Source organism: Homo sapiens, chromosome 1 (genome assembly GCF_000001405.40).
Source record: "Homo sapiens chromosome 1, GRCh38.p14 Primary Assembly".
NCBI lineage: Eukaryota > Metazoa > Chordata > Mammalia > Primates > Hominidae > Homo > Homo sapiens.
The window spans coordinates 41,898,332-41,913,162 of record NC_000001.11 but is presented as its reverse complement, the minus strand read 5'-3'; the positions used below and the strand labels follow the sequence as shown (position 1 = coordinate 41,913,162).

General features: G+C 42.5%; 1 protein-coding gene across 4 annotated transcripts in view, besides 1 other annotated feature; it reads left to right on the top strand.

The window, feature by feature from the left end:
- Positions 1 to 14,831, top strand: part of HIVEP3 (HIVEP zinc finger 3) — a 529,570-nt gene that overhangs the window by 122,772 nt on the left and 391,967 nt on the right. The window lies entirely within an intron of this gene.
- Positions 8,000 to 8,089: an enhancer, noted in NCBI's record as "active region_890". NCBI's record gives its function as "activates an Ori minimal core promoter by ATAC-STARR-seq in GM12878 lymphoblastoid cells {active_cell/tissue: GM12878}" and the evidence as "EXISTENCE:reporter gene assay evidence [ECO:0000049][PMID:35858748]".

Here is a 14,831-nt window from a genome sequence, read left to right as displayed (position 1 = left end):
TTATTTGCCTTTTCAATTTGCACTCAAGGAAATTAAGTTTCTTTCACCTCCAGAGAGTTTCTGTTTCCCTGGTGGCATCTTGGGATGGGGTTACTGGGTCTTTGAGAAGACTCCCTCTCTAGCTAAGTGACTTGTTCTTTGCTGTGGCTTTGCAACATACAGTTCACATTTGTGCTCCAGAGAAAAGACAAATTGCCATGTGGTGTGGCTATTAGGGGTTGTTCACAAATAACTGAAAAAGTGTTGAATCTACAAGCATCTGCTGGGTTTGCTAAAAAATTGCACATGTGTGCAGCCCCTCAAACTCCCCCCAATTCCCTGGCCCTCAGTATACACTTAATACAGTGTTAGAAACTTCCCCTGACTGTCAGCAAATCTTGATGAGGGGAATTGGGCATAGCACAGCTGAAGCGTCTGGTAAAGAACTTAAAATGAGAGCATCACCATTGAAATCTTAGCAAGAGAAGCAGAATGTAGTCATTTGCTCCATGCCCTCATTTTGAAGATTTCAAAGTTTGAGAAAAAAACCCACTATGATTATGATTGTATCAAATAAATGAGCCAGAGCATAATGTGCCCTGGAGGTTGGGCCTTGCTGTACCTCACTGGAAAGATTCTCACAAGAATGTTTTGGAGTGGTCTGGGGAGAAGCTCTTAGAATTTTAAGTGGGTTTAAGAGCACACCAATTACAATTGAGGAGAGCATCTTTGCCCAGCAACTAGAAAAGATATGGCAGGAACTGCAGCAATTTGATATGAGAGTTTCTTATTAAATTTGTGTTGTGACCATCTTTTGAAATAACTTTAATGAAATAGCCCCTAGATGCAAACGAATGCTTACAAACTGTGTAGAAAGGTCTAAAGAATAACATTATGACTAACACTTATGTACTCACCAGTCAATTTGAGAAAAAGAATGTTACTTGAACCTTTGACATCCCCTGTGTACCTCCCTCCACCCTATCCCATTCCTTCTCTTCTCAGGGATTACCATCTTCTGGACATTTCTGTACCTTTTATTCCCCTATGCTTTTCTTTATTGTCTTATCCTCTTGCATTTGTATCCCTAAACAATATATTGTCTAGTTATGCGTGTTTGTGAACTTCATATAAATGGAATCACACTGTTTTATTCTTTTGTTCTTAATGCTCACGTTTAGTCCATGCACACCACACCAGTAAGGCTCACTGGTTGACAAACAATGGGAATATTTCCATATCAGTTGGTAAATTGCTGCTTACCTGGGTCTTTCCCAGGTGCTCCTATGGTACTTCTCCAAGTCCACTCCTTTCTAAAGGGATTACACCTGGCATGGCAGGGGGTCTTGGGTACCAGCTCTGGCACTAGGGCTGGGACTTCATTTGATTGGACTCTGTACCAACTGGTTGTTAAATGTTTCGTCCTGGATTCATTCACATTGTTGGGTGTAGCTGAAATTTTTTCATTTTGCTGAACCATAATATTCCATTGAATGAATATATGGCAGTTTATATGTCTATTCTATTATTAATGAACACTTAGCTTATTTCCAGTATTTTGCTATTATAAATAGTGCTGCTGTAAACATTTTTTTTCAAGTTCCCTGCTAAGTATGTGTGTAAGTTTACTTAGGGAATACACATAGTAATAAAATTACTGGCCACAGACTATGGGCATTTTCAGTGCTGCTAGGATAGTTCAGAATTCTATGGTGTCATATGAGTTTCACTTTAATCAAAAATTAATTTCCAATGTGTTTAACCAATTTCTATATCCAGCTGCAATTTCTCCTACTGCTCTCTAATCTTGCAAAAACTTTATATTTTGTAGGATATTGTCAAAAACTTTTGCCCATCTTGTGGATGTGTAACAGTATCTAATCTGCTTTCAATTTATATACATTTGATTACTAAAGAGGGTCAGTATCTTTTCATACGCTGTTGACCTTTTGGATTTTCTTTTTTTGTGAAGTACCTCTTTAAGCCTTTTGCCCATTTATTTGAAAATTGGGTAGTTTACATCTCTCTTATTTATTTGTAGGAGTTCTTTATATATGCAGGAGACTATTTCTCTGTGTTGCCAAAATACCTTCTCCTTATTTGTGTTATTTTTTCTCACCATCTTTTTTAGTATCTTTACAGTGGCAGAAATTCTTAATTTCAATGTAATAAAATTTATCAATCTTTCCTTTATCATTGAACATTTTGTGTCTTTTAAAGGACATCCTTAAGGACAGTTCTTGTATGGTCTTCTAAACGTTTAAGCTTTGCCTTTCATGTTCAACGTTTTCCCTTGAGAATGAGAGTTTTTATGGATTTGATATTCCTTATTAGGATAAGGAACTACTCCTGTTCTGTAGTTTGCAAAGAGCTTTTTTTCTTTCAAATTATATACATGGATGTTTATTAAATACTTCCTCTGCATTTATTGAGATTTATATAATTTTTTTCTTTAATTTGTTAATATCTGGTAAACTAATTTTCCAATGTTAACTTAACCTTGCTTTCCTAGAATAAACCTGACTTGGTTGTAATGGGTTCATTTCTTATACATTGCTAGGTTTTTTTGCTAATAAAATTTAGAAGTTTTATATCTATCTTCATGAGTGTGTTGTACTGTAATTTGCACTTCTTATCTTATCCTTGGCAGGGTTTTGTATCATGGTTTTGCTGAATTTGTAAAGTAAGTTATAGAATATTTCCTCTTTATCTGTTCTCAAAAAAAGATTCTGTGAGGCTGGAGTTCTTTCTTTCCTGAAGATTTTTAACCTCTGATTCAATTTCTTCAATAGATCATGGGTATTCAGGTTTTAATTTTTTTCTTAAATCAATATTGGTAAATTAGATTTTTCTAGAAATTTATCCATATTATCTGAGTTTTCAAAATTTTTACCTTGAAGCTACTTATAAGATGCTGTTATTTTTTAATGTTCTGTGGGATCTGTGGTTATGTCCACTTTTCATTTGTAATACCTTCTATAATTTTGTTAAATGGTCTTTTAAGAATTTTCTCAATGTTATTAGAGACTATCTCTAATCCTTGACTTTGTGATCCTCTCCATCTTTTGTTTTCTAGTTTATGAATGTCTATACTAATTTTTATTATTTTCTTCCATCTAACTTATTTACATTTGAGCTATTTTTCTTTCTTAGCTTTTTAAGGTAAGTGTTTGGCTTTTTAATTTTCAGGCTTTTTTCCCCATTATGAGCATTGTAAGCTATACAATATTTACTCTAACTTCATAAATTTTGATATGTAATATTTGTATATAATTTGGTTCTGAGTACTTTATAATTTTCACTATGATTTATTCTTTGACTTATGACTTAAAGCTGTGTTTCTTTTTAATCCTCTGAATGTTTGTTTATTTTTCTTATTATCTTTTTGTTACTAATTTCTAACTTAATTGCCTCATGGTTGTCAAATATTGTTTGAGTGCTACCCAGCCTTTTAAATTTATTGAAGCTTACTGTAAGGCTTGGTATGTGGTCACTTTTCATAATGTTCTGTGGATCCTACCATTGTTAGATGCAGTGTTCTATGTAACTCTATCAGATCAAGCTTCTTCACTGTGTTGTCCAAGTCTTTTATATCATTACTGATGTTTGTATGCTTGTTCAATCAGTTACTGAGAGAAGTATTATAATCTCCCACTATGATCGTAGATTTTTCTGTTTCTTCTTATGGTCTGTCAGTTTGTGTTTTATATATTTTGAGCCTTTGTTATTAGGTACCTATAGGTTTGAATTGTTTTATCTTTCTGGTGAATTGAATCTTTTATAATTAAGCAAAACTTGTTTCCTTAGTAATTCTTTTAGTCTTTAAGTCTATTCTGATTAATATTAATGTAGGTCTACCAACTTCATTTTGGTATTTTCCAATAGAGCCTGAAGTACAGCTTTTAGAATTTTCTTTATTGAGGGTCTGTTGGTGACAACTTCTTGATTTTGTTTGCTTGCAAATACACTATTTTTCCCCTTGTTTTTGAGAGAGGTTTTTACTGGGTAGAATTAGGGTAGAATTCTAGGTTGCCAGTTATTTTCTCTCCAACACAATGAAGATATTATTCAACTGTCCTCTGTTTCCATTGTTGCCTCTAAAATCTACTGTCTTGTCTACAGACAAGAGTGTCTCCTTTGAGAATAATCTGTGTTTTCCTTCTGGTTCCTTTAAATTGTTTGGTGTTCTATAGTTTCACAAAGCGTATCTAGGTATATATTTATTTTTATTTCTCATACTTGGTATTCATTGGAGTTCCTGGATCCATGTGATAGTATCCTTTATGTTATGGGAAATTCTTATCCTGTCTCCTCTTCCCGTGAGGCCACAAAAGATAAAAGTGAAGGTCACTTTGTTGGCTATTGTCTTCAAGCTAGCTTCAGGGATTGGCTCTTATACTAGGCTTCAGATTTTGCTTAGTTTTTGCTCACTGAATACGTCTTACTAACTTGCCAGCTCATCAGTCATTTCAAAAGAGTTTTTCTATAGTATCCAGTTTGCTTAGTGTTTTCAGTAGAGTTGGCTATATATTGAATCCACTATCGTTCAGAAAATGAAAGTCTATAAGGTTTTCTTTAATACCACAATAAACCTTAACACTTGAAACCATGAAAGACTATGCCAAGTCTATTAACAGAATGTATATATCCACATGTATTTATTACAGTGACTGGTCTATTTAATGATTCATTCAATGATACTATGTTCTTAGTAATGTAACCCATACATGTTCTTTCCAGGCTAAGATAAAAGACAAGTTGGTGCTAGTGGGTTGGGTAGGGGTGCTTTAAACCTGCCAATAAGAGTCTTACTAGAAGTGAATGATATTGAGTAGATATAGGTAGTTTAGCCTTTAAATGCAAAAGTATATCAGGTACTAGGGAGTTAATTATTCTTTCTTAGTAAATTGAGAAAGCTGATGGATTTTTGGCCGATTTTCAGTTCTACACATTGACAATTCTACTTTAACAGGTTATTTCTCCCGATACAGCTTTTATTCCAAACCTGGAACAGAGTGAGTTAGGATTAGAGATGGTCTCTTTCCTCTTCCACTTACTAGATGCCCAGAACCACTCACTTTTTTCTCTTATGGATGCCTATTTTTTTGTTTTGTTTTGTTTTGTTTTTGCTTATTTCTGTCTTGGGCCAGAGTTGTACCCTCCTATCTCTCCAATCTCCAGTTTTTATAGAATTATAGGCTTCACCACCTGGAGACCAGCTCTCTTTTGGAGAAATAAAGTGAAAGCATCTAGTTCTCCAATACTATCTCTCTCAATTTCCAACAAACAGGACTTGGATGGCAGCTGGCATCCCCAGCTCCCCTTCCATTGCCCATGTGTCTGAGTTGCGCTTGGCTGAACTCAACTTCCATGCCTCTTGGCCAAGGGACTTTATAAACTCTCTTTGTCCAAGAGGTTTCCGACTGATAACTCTGATGTGGTTTACTGCCAGGCCAGCGGGTCCTGCTGCTCACTTCTTGGTGTAACTTCTGCGCAAGGGACAGTTGGGTTGTCATTGTTCTCTTCCCTTCCTGTGAGCCTACTAGTGGTGGGGCACAGCAGATGGACATTCTGGCTGCCATGGGCCTCCCGCAGGCCCAGGGGAGGGAACCGTGCCAGTCTCACGTTCTTTTCCCATTACTGCTGCTTCTTTGCCCTGTTAACCTCTCTGTTCACTTCTCATCCAGCGAGAAGTGAACCTTCATATGGTTGCACCTCATATGGGTGCTGTCTTAGGTAGTCATGTGGGCACTGGTTGGTGAAGGGTTCCCTCTTTTACCATCTTTCCCAGAGTTCAAGGTGGTAAGAGCTCACCTTGCTGCTACCGCAGAGTAGTAGGGCATTGGCTTCCTCTGTCCTCTCTACCTCCTTTTCTCTTTTACTGTAGCCCCTCTCCCCTACCCCTGTCCCTAACTATCTTGGAGAAAACAATTCAGGGGTTATCAAGGATTACAAGGAAGGAACATGTTTTTCTTGGACAAAGACAAATGACCTCTATCCCTCCCAAAGCCGAGTAGTTTTTGGAAAGGCACTTCCTCTTTTTAAATCTAATATATGCATGCTTTCTACCTGGGAGGCAGAAGCCACAGAGGGGTCCAATGAGAGCCTTGCGGGCTTGCCAGTCTTCTCTGTGGGTCACTGGCTGGTTTTGCAGAACATCTGCCCCTCTGAAGCAGGCTGAGAACCAGTCTGCCTGGGGGTCTGATCATTTCCACTAATTTGTAATGGCAGTGCTGGAAACACTTGCAGCTCAGGGGCCTGTCACCTAGGCTTGGCTTGGAAAAGGAGGTGGTAGACTTTGAGGAGAGACAGAAAGGAGGGAGAGAGAGAGAGAGAAAAAAAAAAAAAAGGAAAGGGGGAAAGAAAGAACAAGGAACAAAAAACAAAGGAAGCAGAACGTATGTAACTCTCACCGTTAGCTTCAGAGCATAGCACAGTTCACTTTTGACTGCATGACATCAAGTCTCTTGTTAAAATATTTTCTAAATTGAGTATAATTTACATGTAATAAAATTCACCTTTTGAAGTGTACAATTTAATGAGTTTGACAAGTATCTGCACCAGTGTAGCCATCACCACCATCAAAATATAGAACATTCCCGTCATCCCGTAAAGTTTCTTCATGCCTGTCACACTTAGTTCGTCCCTCCTACCCCCATCCCCTTGCAAAACTCTGTTTTCTAAAACCAGAGTTTTGCCTTTCCTAGAATTTCATATAGCTAAAATCATAAAATATGCACCCTTTTTGCTTCTGGCTTCTTTCTCTTAGCATGGTGCTTTTGAGATTCATCCATGTTGTGTAGATCAGCAATTCATTATTTGTGTGGCTGAATGGTATTCCATTGTCTGGATATGCCACAGGATTTTTTTTTTTTCAGACAGAGTCTTGCTGTGTTGCCCAGGCTGGAGTGCAGTGGTGCGATCTCAGCTCACTGCAACCTCCACCTCCCAGGTTCAAGTGATTCTCCTGTCTCAGCCTCCTGAGTTACAGGGACTACAGGTGCATGCCACCACGCTTGGCTGATTTTTCCTATTTTTAGTAGAGACGGGGTTTCACCATGTTGGTCAGGCTGGTCTCAAACTCCTGACCTCATGATCCACCTGCCTTGGCCTCCTAAAGTGCTGGGATTACAGGCGTGAGCCACCGCGCCTGGCCACCACAGATTTTTTATCCATCCACCTGTTGATAGAAATTTGGATTGTTTCCAGATTTGGGCTATTGTAAATGAAGCTGCCACGAACACTCACATGCAGGTCTTTGTGCCTCCTCAGCTCTCCTAGGTGAACTCCTTCAGGTGCACATTCTGTCTATCCTTGTGCCTGCTAGCCTGTCACCAGGTGGGTACTTCTGTTTTTCTTCCTATGAGTGAGCATCAGATAAGAATGGGATTTTGGATGCCACCACCTGTGCTAGTCCCTAGCAGTCACTTAGACTGTACTATATTCTAATTGTCTGTTGACCTGTTTGACACCCTCACTAAGCTAGAGACAATTTGGCATAGAAATTAAGAGCACAGGGTTCAAATCCCAACTCTGTCATATACTAACTGTGTGATCTTGGACAAGTTACTTAACCTCTATGTGCCTCAGTCTCCTCAGCTGCAAAGTGAGGATAACAGTACCTATGTCATGGGATTGTGAAATCAGATACATAGACAGACATGCTGGGCCTATAGGGAATACTATGTTGTTGAATGACTGGACAAGAAGTAGTATCAGGGTCTGGAATGCACACGTCAGATCCCCTTTTAACAGCTCATAATGGCACTGGAACTGTCTCCATCAACTGCTCTGTTGCCTGGCACCCTGGCACCCCAGTTCCCACTGGATGATAAGCACTGCCTTAACACTGCATGGAGAGTGCTTGTTTCCTTTGTCACCTGCTAGCTCTTCTTCCAGCTCAGATGCTGGCTGCCCCCTCCTGCTGCTTGAGCTAAAGTTCTGTTTCTGTTTCCCTGAATGTCTGTTACTCTGAAAAACATAACTATAAACTATAAGGGATCCCACCTGTTTGCTTTGTTCCTTCTCTCAGTTGTGGGTCCAGACACATCAACTATGTAGGAAGCAGGGCCTAGAGAGGCCCCACCTACACTCTTAAATCCTTATACCCTAGTTCACAAAAATCTTCATGTTCCACAGGGCTAAAAGCCCTATGTTGACTAGAGACACGGCAAAGGAACCACAGGTTCAGAAATATTTGTCCTGCAACTCTATCAAGAATGTAACTGTCAGGGCAGCCTTCATCACAGCCAGGGTTGTAGATGCTCATCCCGCTTCTGCAAGCCAAGGGCCAAGGACCCTTGTGGATGGCAGCTCTCTTATTAGGATGGGGGATTGGAGGTCCTTGAGGGCAGAGATGGAAACAAAGATTTAACCTCACAGCCCTTAATCCAGAGAAGCACTTCCTGGGTCTGGCCATTTTCTCTCTTGAAGAATAACATGATTGTGGACCAGGGTGATCAAAAGAACTAGAGAAATCAAAATGCACAATTGATCTTTGATACTCACCAAAGTGGGGCATAAAGTACAATGAATGAAGTTTCAAGTACAATCCTCTGTGGGCCTGTGGGAGGTGTTTCTAGAGTCTGGGAACTCCAAATGGTACCATATCACGGCCTCCTTTTACGGCGCACTCTGTGTAAAGCATGGCGGTAAGCACCTTCCATGGATAGTCTCCCTTAATTCCACTTCTGGGAGTAGAAGATGACCATTTTACCTTACAGCAGTAGGTCTCATCAGGGGGTTCTGATTTTGTTGGTCTGGGCAAGCCCTGGGTATTTGGACTTTTAAACACTCCCCCAGTGATTTTAATGTGCAGCCAAGGTCAGGACCTCTTTTACAGTCAAGGGAATTGAGGCTTCAGAGGTCAAAGTCACTGGCCCGGGGTCACCAAGCTGTGTGGGGAGGCACAGTTAAAGCACAGGCCTGTGTGACTGCATTGTTTGACCCTGGGGCCCTCCTGCTGCTGCCAATCAGAAAATGGTCAGGACCAGGCACGGTGGCTCAGGCCTGTAATCCCAAGACTTTGGGAGGCCGAGGTAGGCAGATCACTTGAGGCCATGAGTTCGAGATTAGCCTGGGCAACGTAGCAATACCCCATCTCTACTAAAAATGTAAAAATTAGCTGGGCATGGTGGCACATGCCTGTAATCCCAGCTACTCAGGAGGCTGAGGCATGAGAGTCACTTGAACCCAGGAGGTGGCTGCAGTGAGCCAAGATTGTATCACTGCACTCTAGCCTGGGTGACAGAAAGAGACTGTCTCAAAAAAAAAAAAAAAGAAAAAAAAAGGAAAATGGTCAGCACTGGCTCCAGTGTGCTGGGCAGGAAATGGTCAGTAGGGATGCAAAGATGCTGATGGCTTTCCCAGTGCATCCTTGCTGACCCAATACTCTTTTAAGAGGCAAGCATGTGTGTACTCTGAGTCTAAACGGCTCCCTGGACAGAAAGCCATCAGCCTTAGCTCCTGGCCAGCTCAACAGAGGAGCACACCACCCAGCTGCCCATCAACTCTTGGTTCAGGCTTAGCTTGGTTGCATCTGGCTTCAAGAAACAAGGACAGATGCTTTTTGATTTCTTTTCTAATGTCACCTCATAACCAGGCATAAATGTCTTGGTCCCTCCTGAGGAGAGAAAGGTAGGACAAGTCGGGCAAGTGTGGTCTTTTCTAGCCTCACCTCCAGTAATAATTGCAGAATAACAAGGCCTCAGTGCTCACTGCATTCATCAGCACCATACTAAGGACCTTGCACACATCACCTCCTGTTACCTTCACAGGAATCTTGTGAAGTAAAGACTCTTAGTATCTCAATTTTTCAGATGGGGAAACTGAGGCACAGAGAGTCTGGCAGCAGAAATGGGAGTGATCCTAGGCAGTTGCTGAGCCTGGCTCAACTCTTAATCATCATCCTATGTGACCTCCATAGATCTGTTTTTGCCTTGTTCTTGAATTGCTTCAGGAGCCCCATCTAGTTCCCAGCCTGAAAATCAGCTTTGAGCAAGGGAGATGCTGCTTCATTTCTAGCACAGAGTTGGATCCATAGCAGGTGTTCAGTAAATGGTAGTTGGTAGATGTATTTTATTTTATTTCAATTGATTTTATTTCTCCAGATTCTACAATATCACAGTACTGTGATAATAATAAACATGTCTCAGGAATGTAACCCAAGTTATCCAGTTTTTTATGCTTTGACTTCTAAGTATTTCTAAATACTCACCATACTCTCTTAATTGTTGTGTCACATTCACTTTTAGTAGCTGTGCTACGTTCACACCCTATAGTTGTCCAAGAAGAGCACCTCTCTGCACTGTAAGAGCCTCGATGTCTTTCTTTGAAGGATTCTTTACCGGAATAGAAACTGAAACGATTCTAAATGGTAGCTATCCCTGCACCGTCCAGGCCCTCAGAATGAAGTGGTTTGTTTGGTGTGCTCTTCCAGGGTAATCCATAAAAAACTCTATCCCAATTTAGTAGCAGACATTGCCGGCGCTCTGCTCAGATGGCGTTGGATCACTTCGGCCACTTCTGTGTGCCCATCCTGCAGCTTCTGTAGCCTCTGTTTCTAAAGCTTTGCCCCATCGCCTTCTTCAAAGGATTACCCTCTTGCCAAGAGAGTTGGAGTGGCTGGGAGTTTCTGTCCTGGCCATGACAGTCTGTAGCCAATATTAATTAGGGTGGGAATATGAAAGGTCAGCCACCTTGCCCTGGCAGTGGGGGGTGGGGGTGTACAAACTTGCAGGAGGTTCGGTTTACATTCCAGGACCCTCCCTGGGGTCAGGCTGAGGCTGGGATGTGGCCTGAGGTCATGCTTGGCTTGGCCTCTCCCCTTTCTGTCCTGCTTCTCCACTCTCCTACCGACCACTCTGGGGACATTTCTTCAATGAATCACTCATCTAGGAATCCTTATCTCAGGATTTCCTTTGGGGGAACATGACCTAAGTGAAAGCAATGTGGGCCGGATGTCTTTCAGACCAGAAAATGCCTCAAATTCCCTTTTAAGCATTCCTTTTAGTGTCCAGGATTCTGCCCTAAGCCTCCACTTAAACTGGGGGTCCCACTTCCCAGGGACAGTAACCCACCCCTCCTCCTCACCACTGGCTCATTCTTGTGGGTAGTTTCTGGGCTTTGCAGCTCTCCCCCTCCTCACTTCTTAGCCAGACTTTACTCTGCTTCTGTTTCATTCATTCAATACCCAACAGGTATTGAATCCCTGTTCTGTGTCAAGCATCCTCCTAGGTGCTGGGGTACAGCTGTGAATAGAGCAGACAAGGAGCTCGCCCTAACAGACCTTAAGGGAAGAAGGCAATTCACAAGTAAACAAAGAAGCAAGACAGCACACATTAAGATAATGGCTGTGAAGGAAATAGGCTAAGTGAGTGGGGCTAAGCAAGTGGGGTGTGAGTGAGGCAGCCTCCTGGGCTGTGTGCATGGTGTCACCTCCCTCCTCCGCTTCAGCCCTTGCATGCCCAGCCACACCTGCTCCTGAAAAGAGCACCTCTGACCTGCGTCTTAATAAATGCCAGTGACATTGTCCTAACTTTGTCTTTCTTGCCCTCTGAGTGGCATTTTGTGAAGTTTAAAACTCTGCATCTTGTTTTCTTCCCTGGGCTTCTGAGGCACCAGCCTCTCCTGGTTTTCTCTCTGCTTTTCAGGCTTCTCCTGCATAGCCTTCTCTGCTGCCTCCACCACCCCTCTGCTTGGCTATTGAGGATCGCAGCTCCCTAGACTCTGTCTGAGGATTTCTCTTCTTACAATGTAGTCTTCCCCTAGGTGAAGGTGTCACGTCCCCTGGTGTTAGTTTCCATGCATCTCATCTGGACCCCTCTTTGGAAGAACTGATTGTAAATGCAGCCCCCTTCTTAGCATCTCCACTTAGATGACTCAACACACGCATAACTCGGCTCAGCACCTTCCCACATGCATGACCAACCCACACCCCAGCCCCTTCCTCAGCCTGTGAGTCTCTCCTCTTCAGATGCACCCTGTCTTAGGAAGGGGCACCACTGTCCCCCAAGCTGCTTGGGCCAGAAGCCGGACTTCACCCTCTCCTCTCCACCACCTGTTACACTTAAGCTGTCACCAAGTCCTGTGCATTCCTCCTCCTAAGGACGAGTGCATGAATCCATCCACTTATCCATCCTGACGTCCACTCCCTCTCCAGGCCACCATTGCTTGACTGCTGCAGGAGATTCCTCACCGGTCCCCCACATCCTGCCTTGACCCTTCCAGAATGTTTGCATGGGCCCTAATCATGTCTGTAATTTCTTGCTGAACTAAAGATAATTGAAAATTCTTCCCAAGGTATGCACCACCCCAGGCGATGGGCCCTGCCTACTTCTCCAGCCTCACCTCCGGCCACTCCCCTTTCTCCCTCTCCTTCAGCCTTCCTAACAGATGATTCATTCCCAGTTATGGCCTTTCCACACACATTTCCTTTTTCCTGGGAAGCTTTTTAGGGAGGCCCATATGTGTGAAGGCTGCTTTCTTTTTCCCTGAAGTGCTGTGATCACCACTGGGATGTGGGGTGAAAGATACCACCACTGCCTCTCTATTCCCTCTCTACTGGGAAATTTGGAAGAGATCTAGGTGGGAGCACAGGGAGTGGGGAGAGGGAAGGGATAGAGAGGCCCAGCCCAGGGAGAGGCAATAAGGGGGTACGTTGTCTGAAGAGAACGTAAAAGCAATAATATAATAAACGAAGTCTGTTAGATTTTGACTCTCACCTTGCACCAAAAATTCTAAAACCTGTTGATGCAAAATACTCTACCCCCAAGGGAGGATTGCTCCCTCCTCTTCCCTCCACTGGATGTGAGAATAACTTTTGGGAGTCTACCAAGTAATAGCAGCAATAACTGTCATTTACTGACCACCCAGTACCAGGCACTTTGTTAGCTATGTTAGGATTCTCATCACATTAAATCCTTATAGCAGCCCTGTAGGACAGGGCTTGTGGGACCCACTTTAAAGGTGAGGAAACTGAGATTAAAGAGTAAAGCCGGCACAGGCACATCTTGAATTGCTGGCCAGGAAACCCTGCCCATGGGCAGCTATTCTTAAGCAGGGAGCTGGCTGCATTGGCCTGGGCAGAGAAGGCTTTCTGAGATATATATATGTATTTTATTTTTTTTTCCCTTCAGAATAACTCTCACAAGCACTGGACTTCCAATAAATCTGCTTTAGGGCAGGGCTTTGTAATTCAACATGAACCCTGAGATGCTCCAGATTCTGCTGACAGGGGAGAAGATCATGGCCTGAGAATGTTTTGGTTCAGGGACAATAATGTAGATTTGGAGAAAGATCAGGCTGGGCTTGAATTCTAGACCTACTACTTACAGGATCTTGGGCAGATTATTCTCAGAGCCTCAGTTTCCTATCTTATAAGCTGGGGGGTAATAATAGTACTTCATAGAGCTACTAGGAGAGTTAAATGATTCAATGAAGGTGACACTTTCATGAGCGTGCTCATTAGGTGATTAGACTCTATAATGCTTATTAAGCTCATGGCAGATTAAATGATGTATAATGGATGAGTGACAATCAGCTGACATCAGGAGTTCAAGACCAGCCCGGCCAACGTGGTGAAACCCCGTCTCTACTAAAAACACAAAAAATTAGCTGGACCTAGTGGCGGGCACTTGTAATCCCAGCTACTCGGGAGGCTGAGGCAGGAGAATTGCTTAAACCCGGGCAGCAGAGGCTGCAGTGAGCCGAGATTGCACCATTGCACTCCAGCCTGGGCAACAAGAACGAAACTCCATCTCTAAATAAATAAATAAATAAAATAAAAAACAGACATTTGACAAATGTTTGTTTTCTTCCACATAAACATCATCAGGAGAGTATAAACGTTAATTTTTCTTTTTAGGTAGACATCCTACTCTTCTGGGAGTCCATTAAATAGACAAGAGACACTGAAAACACCTAGAGATGCATAAACCACATCAGATGAGAGCCCACATTTCTGGTTTAAGTTATTTCCTAGTGAACAAGTTATTTCTTCAGGAACAATCAGTAAATGGATACATTTCCTGGACATAACATCTTGTTAAAAAGGAGCTTGCTGATATAATTCAGGATATAGTGGCAGAGGTTTTATTTTTAACAGTTTTGTTTTCTTTCCTCATTGATGCTACAAGGAAACATCCAAAATGGCCGTAGCATGTGTTCACCATCCGCATCTTGTGCAGACCTCAGTGGCAAAGATGCCAGCCCATGGGGCTGAACTGTTCTTCCTCTTTGCAAGGAGGGAGCAATTGGTGTATTAATTAAGCAGTGAATTTTTAATGCTTGCTGAATGAATAGATCTGGTCTGTCTTCTAGCCTGGGAACCAGCGCTCTTAGATTTTATGTTATTTCTCCAAAACAATAAATTCTTACAACCCTCTAGAGAGAAAACAAAGCCTCTACTTGCTTCAGCTGGAAGGAAGCTCCATTTGTCTCTCTTCCTACCTGCAGAGACACTGCTACCTTCAGAACTCAGACAGAGGATGACTCTGTGCTGATGGCAGCCAGGTGCCTTCGTAAATTCTCAGAGAGGACTTATTCCACGTCCTGTGTATCTCCAGCATGCAGAGGTGGGTGTGTGTGCACGCACGTGTGCATGTATCATCTGTTTACATGTGGGCAGGCTGACCTGAAGATGCATCTCAGCCCTGAGGGTCCTTGCCTGAGCCAGGACAGGGAGGTAATGGTAAATGGCAGAAACCCTGTGGATAGAAGTTATGAGCCTTTGCTCTTAGGCTGTGGGAGGCACTACTTAGAGATGAGTGCAAGATGATGATGCGTTTTGGTGAGGGTGTTGTCAGCAGTTCTTCTGAGACTGGATTCTAGATCACTTCCTGCCCCCTCCCCCT